This window comes from Homo sapiens, chromosome 5 (genome assembly GCF_000001405.40).
Source record: "Homo sapiens chromosome 5, GRCh38.p14 Primary Assembly".
NCBI lineage: Eukaryota > Metazoa > Chordata > Mammalia > Primates > Hominidae > Homo > Homo sapiens.
The window spans coordinates 116216258-116233925 of NC_000005.10; the positions used below are offsets into that span (position 1 = coordinate 116216258).

The 17668-nt window shown below is 35.9% G+C and overlaps 1 protein-coding gene and 1 pseudogene across 2 annotated transcripts in view; one reads left to right on the forward strand and one right to left on the reverse strand.

Annotated features, from left to right (window-relative positions):
• Positions 1–17668, forward strand: part of COMMD10 (COMM domain containing 10) — a 208263-nt gene that overhangs the window by 131233 nt on the left and 59362 nt on the right. The window lies entirely within an intron of this gene.
• Positions 1569–2145, reverse strand: HMGN2P27 (high mobility group nucleosomal binding domain 2 pseudogene 27; annotated as a pseudogene).

Sequence of the window (17668 nt, forward strand, 5' to 3'; positions counted from 1 at the left end):
AATTTCTCATTGAGGAAGATTGAGTTTTTAAATGTATGTTAACAAAAGGTAGAAAAACTCATCACACTTAGCATGTATACAGTACTTATATGGACTAGAAAGTTTGTTCTTGTGCTTTCAGTAGAAGCATAAAACAAATCTGATGTTGTCATAGAGATAGTTTCATAATAGGTTATGTTTTTGTACAAGTCCCATATTTTCACTAGAACTATTACAAACATTACAGTCATCAGCAGATGTTACACATGTCTAGCATAGAAATTTCTTTTTTTGTTTTTGTTGTTTGTTTGTTTGAGACGGAGTCTTGCTCTGTCACCAGGCTGGAGTTCAGTGGCGCGATCTCGGCTCACTGCAACCTGTGCCTCCCGGAGGTTCAAGCAGTTCCCCTGCCTCAGCCTCCCGAGTAGCTGGGACTACAGGTGTGCGCCACCACGCCCAGCTTATTTTTGCATTTTTAGTAGAGATGGGGAATTTCACCATGTTGGCCAGGATGGTCTCGATCTCTTGACCTCATGATCTGCCTGCCTTAGGCTCCCAAAGTGCTGGGATTACAGGCGTGAGCCACTGCACCGGGCCCTAGCATAGAAATTTCTAAAGTGGATATAAATTAATCATATCAATTCTAAATTACAGTTTAGTTAACATTTTTTAACCTGTTCTTCAGTTATTACACTGTATTTTTAGTCCAAAAAAAGATGAAAGGATTTATCAGGATGTTTTGAGGGGATAGATTTTTAAATAGGTCATTTTGAAGATACTTTTGAGTAGACATAGTCATTACATAGTCATTAAAAAACCAGAGCTTTACATATTTTTATAAAATAATTTTTAAATTCTAAAAGTAATAAATGACCTTAGGGAAGATTTGGAAAATACAAACAAGTATGAAGAAGAAAAAAAAAAGTCCCCGCAATCCCACTGTGCAAATCAACCACTCTTTTTTTTTTTTCCAAGCCAAACTGTATCCAGCTTTATTAAAGATACTTTCCATAAACAGTCGTGGTATTTCAGGCAGAACATGGGCAGACAGTCATTAACAGTACACAACAACTTTCAAACTTAACTACCTTCTTCAATGGACTACCGAAAATCAGAAAGCCACTATAAAACCCAATGAAGTCTTCATCTGATGCTCTGAACAGGCAAAGTTTAGAGTGAGGGTTGACATGTCACATTTAGCATGTTGTTTAACAACTTTTCACAAGCTGACCCTGACTATCAGGAAGTGAAATGAAAACGGCAGAATTTATCTGAAGATCCACAATCTAGAAACGGAACCACTGCTCTTTTGACAGGTGCCATCTCAGTGGCATCCCGGAAAAGTCCAGATTGCCTGACACACTGGTAACCAATGACTGGAGGTCAGGTCCCAACAGATGTCTGGGCTTAAGGGAGTTAAGTCTGTGCTGATAGATGGGAAGGGAGAAGAGAGATAAAAATGATTTTGTTTTTCCATACCACAAGGCTTTTGTGCCAAGGTGGCCATATGTGTCAAAGTCGCGGAATCCCTCCTGGGAGCCAAGAGTAAGTCTCTCAAAACTAGAAGGGAAAAGTGTTTTCCCCACATCAATCCAGCTTCGAAGACACCCTATTAGTGACATATGCCCCTTCCCCACAAAACAACAATGAAGTGTTCTGTGTGCTAACAGCATAGCTCAAAAAAAAAAAGTAAAACAAAATTTTGCATTTTTATAAAACTTGGTAAAAATAGTATTTCAAACTGTTCAGTCACCAGAAGTACACAGTTATCAAAAATGCACACACTTCTCTTGGCACCTCCAGCACCTTCAGCTTTCTGTGCCTGATCTGTTTTGACATCTCCATTTTCTGCAGGGTTATTCCCCTCCTTGCCAGCATCAGCTTTTCCCTTTCTCCCTTTGGGTACCTTCTCTCCCTTCTTTGCAGGGGCCTTTTTAGGCCTGGGCTCTGGCTTTGGAGAAGCAGGTTTAGCGGACAACCTTGCAGATCTTCTCTGTGGTTCGTCCTTTACCTTGGCTTTATCTCCTTTAGCATCCCCTTCAGCCTTTCTCTTGGGCATGGTGGTGGCAGTGATGGTGGTGGGACATAGGCACTGGGCGTAGGATGCAGAGGCATGTGGGCTTTGGTGAGTCCAGGGGTCGTTCTTGCCTCTTGTTCATACTGCTCCAAATCAACCACTCTTAATAGTAAATTCTTTATAAATATTGACTATTGTGTACATTTAAGTTGTTTATTACTTTTCACTGTTAAAAATAGTTTTTCCTCACACAATTTCTAAGGATGCTTCTTAATGACAGCAAAATGCAATTTTCTAAAGAAATTTATCCAACTTGATAAAACCAAGAGTCCTTTACTTAGGACAGGTATATGGGGTAGTGGTAAGAGCTTCCCTATTCCCTGTTTGACACAAATTTTCTTGGAAGCAAGGAAAGTAGAACCATATTCCCAAGAAGCATTCTCTTGGTGAGGCAGAATAGAAGAAAGAATAAATACTATGAGAACATTTTAGGGACAGTCCTGAATAGTAGTCGAGTAGTAAGGGCTCCAAAAGAACTTACATTCCTTCCTTTGTCACTGGAAAATCCCAGTTAGCTTTGAATAGGGCGTTGACTCTACCCCCATATTAATATTTTTAGACAGTGTTATAGATTGAATTGTGCTTCCTCAAAATTTGTATGTTGAAGCTGTCACTCCCAATGTGTCTGTATTTGGAGATAGGGCCTTTAATGATGTAATTAAGGTTAAATGAGATCATAAGGATAGGGCTATTATCCAGTATGACTGGTGTCTTTGTAAGAAAAAGACTAGCTACCAGGTGTCTGCTTTAATAGAGAAAACCTATGAGACAAGACCATCTAAAAGCCAAGGAGGGAAGCCACAGGAGAAACCAGCCCTGCGGACAACTTGATCTTGGACTTTCAGCTTCCAGAACTGAAAGTCTGGAGGCTGTTGTTGAAAATCTGGAGGCTATTGTTGGTGGCTGTTGTTTAAGCCACCCAGTCTGTGGCATTTCGTTAATGGCAGCCCTAGCAAACCGATACATACAGTTTTCTCCCTTTCCCTTCCCCTTCCCCTTCCCATTTTAGTAGTAGTGCAGTAGGCGGAATAACAGCTCCTCACAGATAGAAACTGCTACTCTGTGGACTGTGTAAGCATTACCTTAAAAGGAAAAAAGATTGGGAGACTATCCCGGGTTATCTAGGTAGGCCATAAGCACAATAATAAATGTCCTTATAAGAGAGAGGCAGAGGGAGATTTGACACAGACATACATAAGAGAAGGTGGTACGATCACTAAGGTAGAGACTGGGATAATGGCCACAAGTCAAGAAATGCTGGCAGCTAGAAGGAGGAAGAGGCAAAAAGCAGATTTCCAAGAGGGAATATAGCCCTGCTGACTCCTTGTTTTCTGCCCAGTGAAACTATTTTGGACTTTGTGAGGGAATATATTTCTTTTTGTTTAAGCTATTGAGTTTGTAGTAATTTGTTTTCAGCAGCCATAGGTAACTAATGCAAATAGCTGCTGAAAATACCAAATACTTTTCTGTGTCTAATGATGTAATCTTATGGTTTTGAATCATATGATGTTTGCTTTCTAATTTGTGAAAAAATCATATCGATTACTTTGCTATTTTTTTGTAAACTGCCTCTTTCTGGTATTTTTTTCAAACACTGATGGATTTGATAATATTTTGATAGAGTTTTTTATTAAGGAATTAAATAGTCTCTACTTTTTCTTTTTTATACTGTCTTTGTCAGGTTTGGGTCATAAGGTTATATGTTAAATTGTTTTGGATACATAGTCGGAGCCCAGGTTATTCTAACCTTGAAAGTCAGTTATCAAAGCTGAAGCTTTCTATGATAGACAATTGGGAGATAATTTTGGTTCTTAAGTAGAAGAAACCATATTAAAGTGTGTTTTTTAAGATAATAAGACATAACAGTACATCCAAAAATTGTTTGTAGGTACCTAGGGAGCAAAATCAGGCATAAAGTCTCAGATAACAATCTAGGTACTGAGTTTCTCAAACACATTCTGTCTCATTCATGTTCTTCAGGAGTGAAGACTACGTGAATTGAGTTTTGGGGGATTTAATCAGGAAGTAAAGGAATTCTAAGCCCCTAGAGAATGTCACAGTAGATGACTGAGAGGTGATCATGTTTATCTTTTCCCTGTAATTCTTTCATTCCATTTTTTTTTTCTTTGGAAGAGGTGAACATCGTAGATAATAAACTTTGGGAGTGTTAGGGGATGGAAGGGAACATGTCTGTATAGGTCAGAGTTTCTGAGGTTGGTAGCCTTGGACTTTTTGTGAGAGAAAGAAGAGTAGAGTTATAAGGATCCAGGGATACATATGCAACCCAAGCATTGTATAAACACTGGAAAAATAATATAACTCACACGTCTGTTATTCCACATTTTCAAATGTACTTAATTACTTTGTAAATCTAAATCATCAACTGAAAAATTATGTTTCTAAATTTGTGGCACCTGTAGTTAATGCTTTCAAACAACAAATAATAACAGCTTATACCTATTACCCTATGGGAATCTGTAGAGTGGGTTTAAAAAATTATTTTAAAGGGACCATCTTTTAAATGAAACCCTCCCTATAAACTTATAAAATTAATCAGGGAAGAAGGGATGGGGAGAAACAAAAACCAAGCTTGCAGCACATTCAGCGTTAATCACTAGGTGAGGCTTGCTCTCTGGTCTGCTTCTTCATAGTTGTTTGGTGCCTATTGTCCTACAATCACAAAGACCTTAGATTATAATTCTCCTTAACTGCTCCATAGAAAACAACTTGAACATTATGAAACATTAAGTTTTCCCTTTGAGATACTCTTTTTTTTTTTTTTTTTAACTGTTCCAAAGGCACATTGGCACCTTTGAGATACACTTTCAGGTCCTGCATACCAGTGAAACTACAGGCACCAGCTGGTCTGACGGTGAGCTGTCTCAGCAAATGCACTCGGTATCTTCATGATTTCATCTCCCTTATTCCAACCAATCAATGACCCCAAATTTCCAGCCCCTTGCCCTCTACTATCTCCTTAAAATCCCCAGCCCAGAACTCCTCTGGGAGATGGATTTGAGGGTCTCCTCCCATCTCCTTTCTCAGCCACCCTGTGGTTATTAAATTCTTTCTGTGTTACAAACCCTGCTATCTCAGTATATTGGTCCGTTACTGTAGATCAGGCGTACAAATTTGTTGGTCTTGAATCTAAACACCAGTCCCTTAATCTTATTACTGAGGATACTCTTGGCTATGTAGTTACTCATGGTTACATTGCTAGTTAGTTACAGAACCCTGGTGAGAGCCTGTGTTTTCAAGATCTCTTAGAAATGCTGTGAAGAAAAGGTCTTAGGTTTAGGTCTTAGTAGTAATTATTTGGTTTGACTTTGGAAAAGTGTAGATACCTGCATCTCCTCACTGTGGGCTATGCACAGATGAAATGTAGCATTATTACGTTTTGAAAGGTGCAGGATAGCTTCTGTTTTTCAACATTATGCTTTAGTTGTTCTAGCCACCATTCTTTATTTAAATGAGTAGGAAGCCAAGAGCAAAGTAAAGATGGATTTTTGGAGTCCTTTGCTTATTTTCCCACATTTTTTCTTACCAGAGAACACATAACATAGACAGGTAGATAGGAAGGGAGGGAGGTAGATAGGCAGGCAGTTCAACCAGAAAAAAATCAAGCCTGTTTTAGCAGGTTGTGAAAAGATGAACTGAATCTGTCAATGTCCGCATCTTCTTTAGTTACCAGGAGTGGATGTGGGTAAGCCTTGGTGCAGCAGATAATACTGATAAGTGTATATGTTCCAAATAGAGATGTGGTCATAGGAGGAAAAAGAATGTTAATGCCATCTGGGATGTTAAGAAGTTAGGGAAGGACACAGAGCATAATTGAGATGAAATTGTAACTTCTTACTCTCTTCAGTGATAGTCAAATCTAATTTAAGTCTGTTACTCTATTCTCATGAAAACATTCTCAAGAGTTGAAGAAAATAAATAGTAAGGCAGTCTGTATGGACCTTAACAAAACTTAGTTTTGACTATTGGAATTAAATTTTAATATTTTAATTTGGAAATCTCATCCTGAAATCTCTTTTGGTAAAAACATGGAATCTTTTTAGTATGAATTAGAATTATTCTGGTCAACAATTATAGTTTCTGTACCCATTAGGGTATCAAAGTCTTATATTCAAATTATATTAAATTGACTCATTGACTCATCTAGTTCAGTGGGAATATGATTTTAGAAGTAGAATAAAGTCTACTTGTATTTGTAAAGTTGACACTATGTTTTATGAGGGAATTTAATGTTCTTTTCAGGAACATGAGGCTGGACAGAAAGATAATCTTACAAGAAATTATCTCAGTTTTTCATTTTGGCCTTTTGTTCACAAAAGAGCTAGAATTCAAAAGAAAACAACATTTAGCCTATTTATTTATTTGTTTATTATTTTTTGAGAGGGAGTCTTGCTCTGTTGCCCAGGCTGGAATGCAGTGGTGCCATCTCGGCTCACTGCAACCTCTGCCTCCCAGGTTTAAGCGATTCTCCTGCCTCAGCCTCCCAAGTAGCTGGGACTACAGTTACATGCCACCACGCCTGGCTAATTTTTTGTATTTTTGGTAGGGACAGGGTTTCACCATGTTGATCAGGCTTGTCTTGAACACCTGACCTTGTGATCCACCCACCTCAGCCTCCAAAGTGCTGGGATTACAAGTGTGAGCCACTGCGCTCAGCCGCCCTTTTTAATACTATGGTTATTTTAGTTGATATCTTCAGATTGCTCTTGATTGGAGTATATAAAATATGTCATAGATTGTGTTATTTTAATTTTACTTGTCTATGTTCTTATTTCTTTGAAGTTGCTATTTTTCACTATATTTTGCTGTCACCTATAAATTATAAATATTAGTCTTAACAGAAGTCAGATATTTTCTATATTGGATTTTTTTTTGAAAAAAAGGAGATAGGATAAAATGTAAGGAAATCAAATCTAGGAACTAATTTAGAAAAGTCAGAGGATTTTTATTTAGTATTGAGAAGTATAAGATAAGTTAAATGTATACACCAGAGAAAAAAAGTTCTTATTACAATGTAATATGTGGAACAAAAAAAAATAGTAAGGATATGGCTATCTATATTTTATTTTAATGTTTATTTAACAAATATTTACTCAGCTCCAAATTAGGTACTAGAAACTGTCTCAGACTCTGGGAATATATTTCCACACATCCTGGTCAATGAAACATTAAATTTCTAATTAGAAATTTTAGAAGTTCTAAGAAAGCAAAAAGCTCATGGTGCTTTTGGAACATAGTCCAGGGAGATTTAACCTAATCCAGAGAAGCTCGGGAAAAATTTGTGCCAGACTATAAGGTGAGACCGTAAGGTTGAGTCAGAGAGGGACAGAAGGGGTTTGGAGAGAATGTTATTGGAGTGTAGGAATAGTATGTTCAAAAACTCTGAAGCGACTATAATGTATTGTAAGATACCCTGAAAGAAGTTCATGATCGTAGGAGTGGAGGCAGTGAGAAGAGGTGAAGCCAGACTGGAATGGTTCAAAGGCAACACTTGAAATTACCTGATTAAAATAAGGCACTCAACATAGCCTTAAGAATGAAGGTTATTCCATTTGGTATTCTTTGCTGAACTGCTTAACAGTATTTTTATGTTTCCATGTGCTGAATTCATTTTATAAATTTTTTTAAAAGTAATGCATGTGTTTGGAGCAGCATTATAAGACCATGGAAATGGTTTTACTGTTTGTCTCTTTTACGTTTTTTAAGAACAAAGCTTCCATTTTCCACTTCCATCTCTTGGACTATTCATTTAACGGTGATCTTTCTGTTTCTTAATCCAGGTTCTAAGGATTCTGGGGTTGGTAGTTTAACTCTTAATCCTTTTAAAAAATTGAACCAATGTATCTTTTCAATGAGAAATAGTTCATAAATCTTGCTACTCAAATAAATCATGAGTCTATATGAGGACTTCAGTTGGGAATTCGTTTATTCCTGTTCACTAGAATTAGGAAACTCTATGTAGATAGGAGCCATCTCTGTGTTTACTTACTGTCTCTACAGTTCCCAGCCATTGCCTAGTATATTAATCCATTTTTGTTGGTATAAAGGAATATCTGAGACTGGGTAATTTACAAAGGAATGATATTTATTTTGGCTCATGTTTCTGCAGACTGTACAGGAAGTGTAGTGCTCTCATCTGCTTCTGGTAAGGCCTCAGGAAGCTTACAATCATGGTGGAAGGCAAAAGGGGAGTTGGCATATCACATGGTGAGAGGAGGGAACAAGGGTCCGGGGCCGCGGTGCCGCACTCTTTTAAACAACCAGATCTCATATGAACTCAGAGCGAGAACTCATTTATTGTGAGGACAGCACCAAGCCATTCATGAGGGATCTTCCCCCAAGCCCCAAACACCTCCCTCTAGGCCCACCTCCAGCATTAGACATCCTATTTCAACATGAGGTTTGGAGGGGACAAAACATTCAAACCGTATCACCCGGGATATTGTTGATGAAGTATTTGTTGATTGAATTAATACTAAATTTTGTTGGCATTACATTTTATTTTGACTTTAAATGCTGATGAGTATTTGATAGTTCATGGTTCTGTGATAACATTTAGGCTTGTAGTGAATAAAACATTACAATATTGTTTAAATCTTTTCTTTTACATTTAAATAAAAGATGGATAAGAATGTTACTTTAACATTTTATATAATATCCTTTAACAATCTGTAGGCTAATCTTTAGTTTATGGGGCTTCTAACCCATAATGCAGTTGTACTGATTCTTTTGCCATTTCCAATTTGTTGCTGTGACCATTTGGTGAATATTTTATTTCACTTATTATACTTTTTAGATCTAGAGTTTTCTGTTTTTGTTGTTTCTTTTTTTCTCTTGAGATTTATTCTGTGTTCACTCACTGATAGCATATTTTTCTTCAGTTCTTTGAATATATTTATAATAGCTTTTTTGAATTACTTTACTTGCTAAATTCAATGTCTGAGCCCAGTTAGAGTCATTTGTATTGAGTGTATTTTTTCTTAAGTAATTTCCTGAAGACTTTCCTGTTTGTTTTTTTGGGGATTTTTTTTTTTTTTTTTGCATATGTAGAAATTTCTGGTTGAAAACTAGACATTGGGAAACATATGGTGAAATGACTCTGGGTTCTGTCATATTCTTTTGAGGACCTTGGTTTTTTGTTCTAGTAGGCAATTAACTTCCTTGGGTTGAAACCACAAACTGTCTCCTGTGAGGTATTCAGCTTACACCTTTCCTCTGCTGCTTTGTTAGCCTGAACACCTATAGGTCCCCCTTGTATATGCACAGTGTGGTAGCCCAAAGATTTTGGCAGATGCTCATCTTCTTTGTTGTTTCTTTGTGTCTCAGAATTTCCTCCTAATTGACAGTAGCCATGCCAGCTTTGGGCCCTATACTCTGACACATCAAGCCTGTCTAGATTCATCTTTCTACCACTCAAGCTGTAAATGATTGAAAAATGTTCTCAGTTAATAAAAGAATCACAGATTCTAAAATCTTGTTTTTTTTTTTTTCTCTTCCTGCTTTTTCACTAGGCTTCATAGGCCTCCCTTGCTCATGTGTAAATTTTGTTGTCAGCTAGGAATTTGTGTAGCTTGTGCTCTGAATTTGAGTCTCGTGCCTTCTGTGATTAGCTTGGTGCTAACATTTTTCCTTTAAATTTTCAGCTCTTTTTCCAGCTCTCCACTCCAAGTTCTAGCATCTTTAGCCAGTGCGATGCCATTTTTTTCTTCTCCTTTTTTGTAGCTGTAGCTATGGAGTTTGGTCAGTGCCTTGCAGCCAGTATGAACTCTCAATTCTTACCCCTTCTAGTTTTCAAAATAAAACTCTCTTCAGCCTTATGTCTGCATTTGAAAGTTTGAAGTATCTTCAAGTAGTTTGTTTGCTTTAATCTAGTATCTTATTATTGGTATCTCTGGGGTTTTGTATGACCACGTCAGTTTTTCAGCATGATCAGAAGTTAAACTACTTCATCCCTATTGATTTCAAATAGTACATTTAAAACAAGGGCTTCTAAACATTCAATGAAATTCAAATGATGTTTTAGACATTAACTTACACCTCAACTCTTCCAAATTTGTAAGTTCATGTTTGCACTTTGTACTTCCCTTTTTTTTTTTTTTTTGAGAACAGCAAATTATATTTCAGCTGATGGACTTTCCTCAGTTTCTGTTAATTACATGTGTGTCTCTATTTAGTAGTGCATTTAGAGTCACTATTTTTCACTGCTGCAGATATCTAGACATTTGATTGGAAAATAGTTCGGCATTGAACTTAGTAGCAATATTGGGGGACTTGGGACTAAAAAGCACCAATCAACTTAGAAAACCAAGCCCTGTAGTAACACAAGGGAAAAAAAAAATTCCTGAAGCCAATACCTTGGGAAATAAAGATAATAGAAATGAAATCATCTAAGTAGATGGCCTTAATATTTCTGGACATGTTCCATAACCCTCACAGGTAACAGTGGACTGGCATCTGGGAGACAGGACAAAACATAAATGTGGAATTTCAAGGATATTCCTATTTTCTGTTAAAGTTGCAGGAAGTATGAATTACTAAAGACTTTACATATGGTCAGATTGCTGAGTTTCAGTTTCAAATATTAAACACTCTTTTTCAGACGTTCTCCCATTTCACTCTCATTTCATATGAGTTCATATTATTTTATGCCCCAGGCCCGAAGTGTAGATAAGTTTACTGCTCCATTGTATACTGTTTATCTGATTCACTCTCCCCCTCTTTTGCCTTCTGGTGTTACAGAGTGGTAAGCAGGAAAGCAGGGTCTGTATCTATCTGTGCTATAGGTTCACTATCCTTGCCATAAATTAAGTTGATCGCTTAAAAAGTATCACTACTTTAGCACTAGATTTAGCTCGCTTTTAACAGAAATTTCATGGTGATCTTTTCTCATTTCAAGGCCCTTGAAATAAGGGCCTTGTTTTCTCGTTAATGGAGCATCTCATTCTCCTTCAACAGGGCTTGATTTCCTTTGAACAAACATTATTCTTACCAATAATTCTGATAACTTTCTGGTAATTTAATTGTGGTTATCCAGCCTCTTTATTCTCCATCAGTTCATTTTAGATATTCTTCTGATTTCCTTTTGTCTTTCACAAGATCTTTGAAATCCCATTTTCTCTACATCTTTAATATGACCTGAAAAAAATGTTTGTTCAATTTATACATCCTGCCACAAAATAGTACTCTGCTTCAAATTCCACATTTATGTTTTGTCTCCTCTGCCACAGGTAATAACCCGTCCACTATTACCTGTGGGGGTTATGGAACATGTCCAGAAATACTAAGGCTGCCCACTTAGGTGATTTTATTCTTATTATCTTCATTTTCCAAGGCATTGGCTTCAGGATGTTTTTTCTCCTTGTGTTTTCTGACTTGATTGGTGATGCCGAGCATTCACACAGCTTTTCAGTTTCTCAGCTTAGAAGCAAGGAATGTTAAAAAGTTACTATCAGTGCCTTTAATCATGAAAAAGACAAGTAGAAGGAATTAGTTCTCTCACCCAGGGACATCAGTGTGTATGTATACCAGTGGGAACCAGACATCGTGTCTAGGTAAAATCACTTATCACACTGCAGCTAATTTTTTCACCTGGTAATTTTAGCCAAACTAGGTCATGTTATAAATGTCAGCAAGGCAAAAGAGAGAATAAAATGTCATCAGAATAATGCACATACATTTCAATGGAGGTTAAAATCTTTTATAGGAAACAGGATTATGAGGTAGGAGATTTTTTTCATTGCAGCAGTGAATGTGAATACAGTTACTATGATTCTTAAGGTATTCACTTTGGCCTCATTCCTGCTTTCTTTAAATTAGAAAAAATATCTCAAGTTTGCTTACAGGTAAGAGTTTTAAGCCAAATAAATAACAGTTATTGTAGTGATTTGGTTGAAAAATAAACTTCTAATTCCCCTTTAAAAACTGAGAAGAAATGAAATATAGTGCAACGTCAGCCACAAAATCATTATTTTGATAGCTAACATCATTTGTATTCTAGGCTAGAATTTTAAAATTTAAAGTTCAAAAAATAAAATTTTATTCACATTGTTGATTTTGCCCAATGACACAAGCTATATGTTAATATTAAATTAATATAGACAAATTAAAGAAAGTACCACATTTATCACTTTCATATGTAGTAATTTTTATTTCAATAACCAGAATTGTAGGTTTCAAAAAATGTTTGAAAATTTGCTTTAATTAATAGTTTTGACAAAGAACCTTTAATAGACCGCTGCTTTTCTTTTCAAAGTTTCAGTTAAACCTGAAGAAATAATATGGTCCTGCTGTGATTTTTGAATGAATGCTTTTGTGGTTGCATAAATTGTGTTTTTTCATGAATATTAGGATTGTAAATGAAAATTAAGTCTGGATTCTGATCCTTTTCCTTTCAAGCTTATTAAAATAAGATCTTTTAGGATCACTGTGACTCTCTCCTTGTTAGTTTTATGTCATAACTTAGCCCTGATTATAAACAAACTTTAACTGTTTCTTAATTCAGTTTTTTCTTTTGTCATGAGCAAAGAAAAATTACTGAAATAAATAAGCATTGAGACATATTCTTGTAGTTGAAAACTTAGTGTGGGAATCATATTTTTGACTCCCAGCTCAGGATAGTATTAGGTAGGGTAGATTATTTTATCTTCTTGTAAAATAGTGTAAAATAAATATTTGCCTATAGACATTACAGTTTAGAGTAGAGAAGTTTCACATTAGAAAGATGCTGATTCGTCTTTACATTTAGGCATAAAAGAGGGAGTACATAGAGAGCATTTATAATTTATCTACTTTAAACATAATTATTTTTTATTATTTCCCTTTGCACTATTTTTAATCCTACTCATAGAATGAAAGATGAGGCATTGAACTTGTATCTAAGATTGATGATTTGTTTTGAGTCTGGGGCAGACAGACACAGTAATGGCTTAGTCTGATACAGGCATTTTGGGTTCAGTCTCTAGGGACAGGTATTCATATGTAATAAAACCACTTGAACTGGCATTGATTGCCATTGTTGATAATCCTAGCAGGATCAACATTGATTGAGTAAATAAAAAGATCGAATTTACCTTCTTCTGGCAAGGCAGGCAGAGAAGCAGGACAAAGCATAAAGACTTGACAGCACTGTAGCATTACCTCTATTCAACTGTGCTTCAGAGAAAAGAAGTGGCAATGATTAAGGGTACTGTTCAATTCAGCAAGCAATTATTGAGCAGTTCTGTAGCGCAACACTGTTAGCTGCTAAAGGACTCAAAAGGAGAAGACAGTATGATTTTGCACTAAAGTAGTTTATCATCTAAATTGGAAGACAAACGGTTCATATGTGAAACAGCTAGAAAACAAATTATGACAGTATATAATTGAGTGTACAGTTGTTCATGCAACAGAATACAAGCACAATTTATTTGTCCAGCAAGTGAAAAGATATATCTTTATAATGTTTATAATGTTAAATTTTGTGTGGCAACATAAAGTAACATAGCCTGAGTTAATTCAGGTCTTTGGTTATTTAAGATGAAAAAACCCCCAGCAATTTAAATGGTATTTATTTAAAATATCCTTTATTTTATTTATCGTCCTTTATTTAGACCACCTAAAAACACTAGATATATGATTATTCATACCTGAGCCCCCCCAAAAAAAAATCAAGACTAGCTTACTCCCTGTTAATGATTCAATCAATTGAGTATAAACTTTATTAGGTTTTGTTCACTATTGATTCTTTGCCTCATATATCATAAAGGTTCATTCTGTCTATTTTGCAGTATTTTCCAATGTCTAGGTATTCTGAATTATGTTCACTAAAAAGTAGGTCTCAAAGAGCATCGTAATCTCCTTAGCTTTGTATAAGGAAGCCATGTAACAAAGCAGCCTTACTACGTTTCTGTTTTTGCTTTTGTTTTATTTTTATCTCCATTACTTGTTAAGTGGTAATGGTGTAGTAGCATCTTAAAATACCATACTATTAAGATTGAGCCGGGGAACCTTCTCCTATTCTTTGCTCTTCAGATATTTCTCTACTGTAACCCCATAGCTCTTGAACATCTCATGACATATATCATTGTATTTTAATTTAATAAATTCATTTTTCTATGCACTAGACTGGCTTCTTTGCATTATAACCAGGACTTCACATAGATGCTGGTACCTCATAGATTTCTAATAAATACCTGCTGAATTAAGGAAACACAAATTTATGTTCTACATCACGATGTTAGTGAAAATTTGTTGCTGTGTTTATTTCTCACAATAAATAAACATGGGGTGCCTCCTGTAGTAGTGTCCTATGGGAATCAATTATTGATACCCAGTGATGTAGACAAGTTGTTTTAAAAAAGAAAAGATTGAAGGAAAGCAGTCTCCTCTTTTACCAGCCCCCACCTCAACTATATAATTTTAAGAAAATTGATATCAAAAGCTGTGATATCCGTTTCTCTTTACCATCCAAAGTTCTTGAAGTTGCCTTGACAAGCAGAGATTCCTTGAATCAGTCCAAATACATGATATATAGATAAATAATACGTGTGTGTGTGTAGACATCTTTAGTAGAAACAGCTTTTCAGATACTGATTTCATACTGTCTTCCTCCTGGCTTTCCATTGACTTACTGATTTCAGATACAGTTTCAAATTGCATCTTAATTGTGGGGAGTGGGGATAGTAGCTAGCCTCTGGCTCCTCTTTTTTAAGGTTATTTCTGAGACTGCCTTGGAGTGGTTCAAACCAGAATAAATGCAGTTTACTGCCTATCACTCCATACTCTTAAGATGGTTTTGCCAGCTTTTAGAGCCTCTCAGATGTTCTAAAATAAGGTCAAGCTGATTCTACATCCTATTGGTGGTAGGTGTTAGTGATGTCAATTTGGCACAATGTTTTTGACTTGAGATAGAATCATTAATCCAGGGATATCTTGTTAATAAATTTACCGACTACTCACTTGGAATTTTTGATGTAGCAGTTTTTAATAATATAGCTTTTTCATGTCAACAAGAGTACATTCTGACTGATTCTATTTATAAAAGTATGCAATACTAATGTTTAATATTAGAACAGTTAGCAGTAGTTAACTTTGGAGAACAAAAATGGTAGAGGTAAGGGGTCAGTAAGAGGACTTCTGAGGATGCAGGTAATGTATTTATTCAGCGAGTCGTGGTTATATGGGTGTGTTTATTTTGTAGTAACTCATTGAGCTGTATGATTGCTATACTTCACTAAAATCTATGGAGATCAAAGGCTACTTTGGCAGCTTTAGTCTAATGACAAACTTATTATTTTCTTAAACAATGGGCAAAATTTTCTTCTGACTTTCAGATTCCTACAGTCTAAAGGGAAAGATAAAACTATTTTAGTATGATAGCTAAAATGCTTTTGCTCTTTTAAAATTCTCATTATAAAGTGTATTGTTTATTTTAACTTTTATATGACTGTTATTGGCTACTTAAAAGTCTTTAAAGAAATTAATTGGGAAATAACAGTTGAACATGAATATGGGAGTACTTACTTCAAGACAATCCAGAAAAAAAAACAACAGAATATAAAATGTAATGTTTAACAAAAAACAAATGTCATTTTGTATTTAAAGAACAGTTTAAGGTATGTTTAAAACAACTACTTCTGAACTGAATGATACTACTTCTCACCCCCTCCATGGCAAAGGGGTCATCTAAATTAGTTGTAGTCAGCTGCACCAAGCTGAAGAGCCACTTTACACTGAACTGAATTTTGTATGGAAGCTGGAAAGAACCACAGACTTTACTACCACATTCTAATTGGCAGGAACCCTGCTTCTGATGCTAAACAGCATGTCAGGATTGCATACTGTATCAATTTCAGAAGTCCAAGTTACATTTGGGTTTATTGTTTATCCAGCCACAAGTAAGCTGCCTTCTGTAACTTACCCATTGGCTTACTGGGTTATGATTTTCTAATTAGAAATGGAGGACTTTGAGATGTTAAAAGTGGGGGCCCAATAATGAGTATTGCACTGCAGATACACAGACTGAATATCACTGTCCTAAAAAAAAAAAGGCTTTTAAATTGAAATATCAAAATCATGATTAAAATCGAAAGGTAAACAAGCAAGATAGGATAAATTCAATCCATGGTGTTGGTACCAGTACTCTTCACGTGAAAAGGACCTCGGCATAAGTGTTCAGAAATAACAAAGATCAACCAGCTTGGCCAACATGGAGAAACCCCATCTCTACTAAAAATACAAAAATTAGCTGGACGTGGTAGCGGGTGCCTGTAATCCCAGCTACTCTGGAGGCTGAGACAAGAGAATTGCTTAAACCCCAGGGGGGCAGAGGTTGCAGTGAGCCAGGATCACACCACTGCACTCCAGCCTGGGCAACAGAGCAAGACTCCGTCTCAAAAAATTAGCAAAAATAACAAAAATCAATAAGCTGAAAAATGTTATAAAATTTGACGTTGAATAATTCATTAGACATGAAATTACAGAGTGCTTACATTTGTTGGGTACTCTTTTAATTGCTTTACATATATTAACTTGTTAAATTCTCAAGCAACCTATGAGATACAGGACAAGACAAAGAGAAGTTAAGTACATGTAGAAGGTCACACAAATGACATTTAAATCCAGGCAGTCTGATTGTAATTCTATGCTCTTACCCTTAAAAGGATTCGTCAATTCCGGCTAAATGGTGTGCCTGAATAAAATGTGGAGCACGGTAGCATTTATAATATTTATTCATTCAACAAATATTTATTGAACGCTTACGATTGGGCCAGGCACTATGCTAGGTATTTATGGTTATAATATTCCCCCACTTATTTTTGGGGTTTTACTTTTCATAGTTACCTTTGGTTAACTGTGGTCTGAAAATAGGTGAGTACAGTACAATAAGATAATGTATGTGTGAGAGAGAAAGACTACATTCTCATGACTCTTATTACAGTATATAGTTATAATTATTCTATTTTATTATTAGTTATTGTTAATCTTTTACAGTGCTTAATATACAAATTAAATTTTATCATAGGTATGCATAATAGGAAAAAACATAGTATATATAAGGGTCAGTGCTATCAGCAGTTTCAGGCATCCTTTGGAGGACTTGAAATATATCTCCCACAGATAAGGGGGAACTATACATAACAGTTTATGAAAGTCCTTGACCCTTGTGAAGTCTGTATTCTAGTAGAGGTCTACAGACAATAAACAAAAAAGTAAAACAACTAGGTTGTCTAATAAAATATTTACATAGAAGCTATGAAGGGGACTGTAATTTCATAAGGTGGTCAAGGAAGACCTCACTGATAAGGTGACACTTGAGTAAAGATTTGAAAGATGTGAGAGGATAAACCACGAGGAATGTTCTGGAAGCAGAACATTCCAGGTAAAGAAATCAGCAAGGACAAAGTCCCTGAGAAGAAAGTGAGCTTGGTATCTTCATGAACAAGGAGAGAGTTTTAATGAAGCACAGTAAGCAAGAGGGAGATTGGAAGAGGAGAGGTGAGAGGGGTGTGGTAGGACAGATGATGTAAAGCCATTGTTAGGATTTTAGCTCTCGTTTTCAGATGGGAAGCTATTTGAGGAATTTGCATAGAAAATCAAACCTCAAAATGTTGAGAG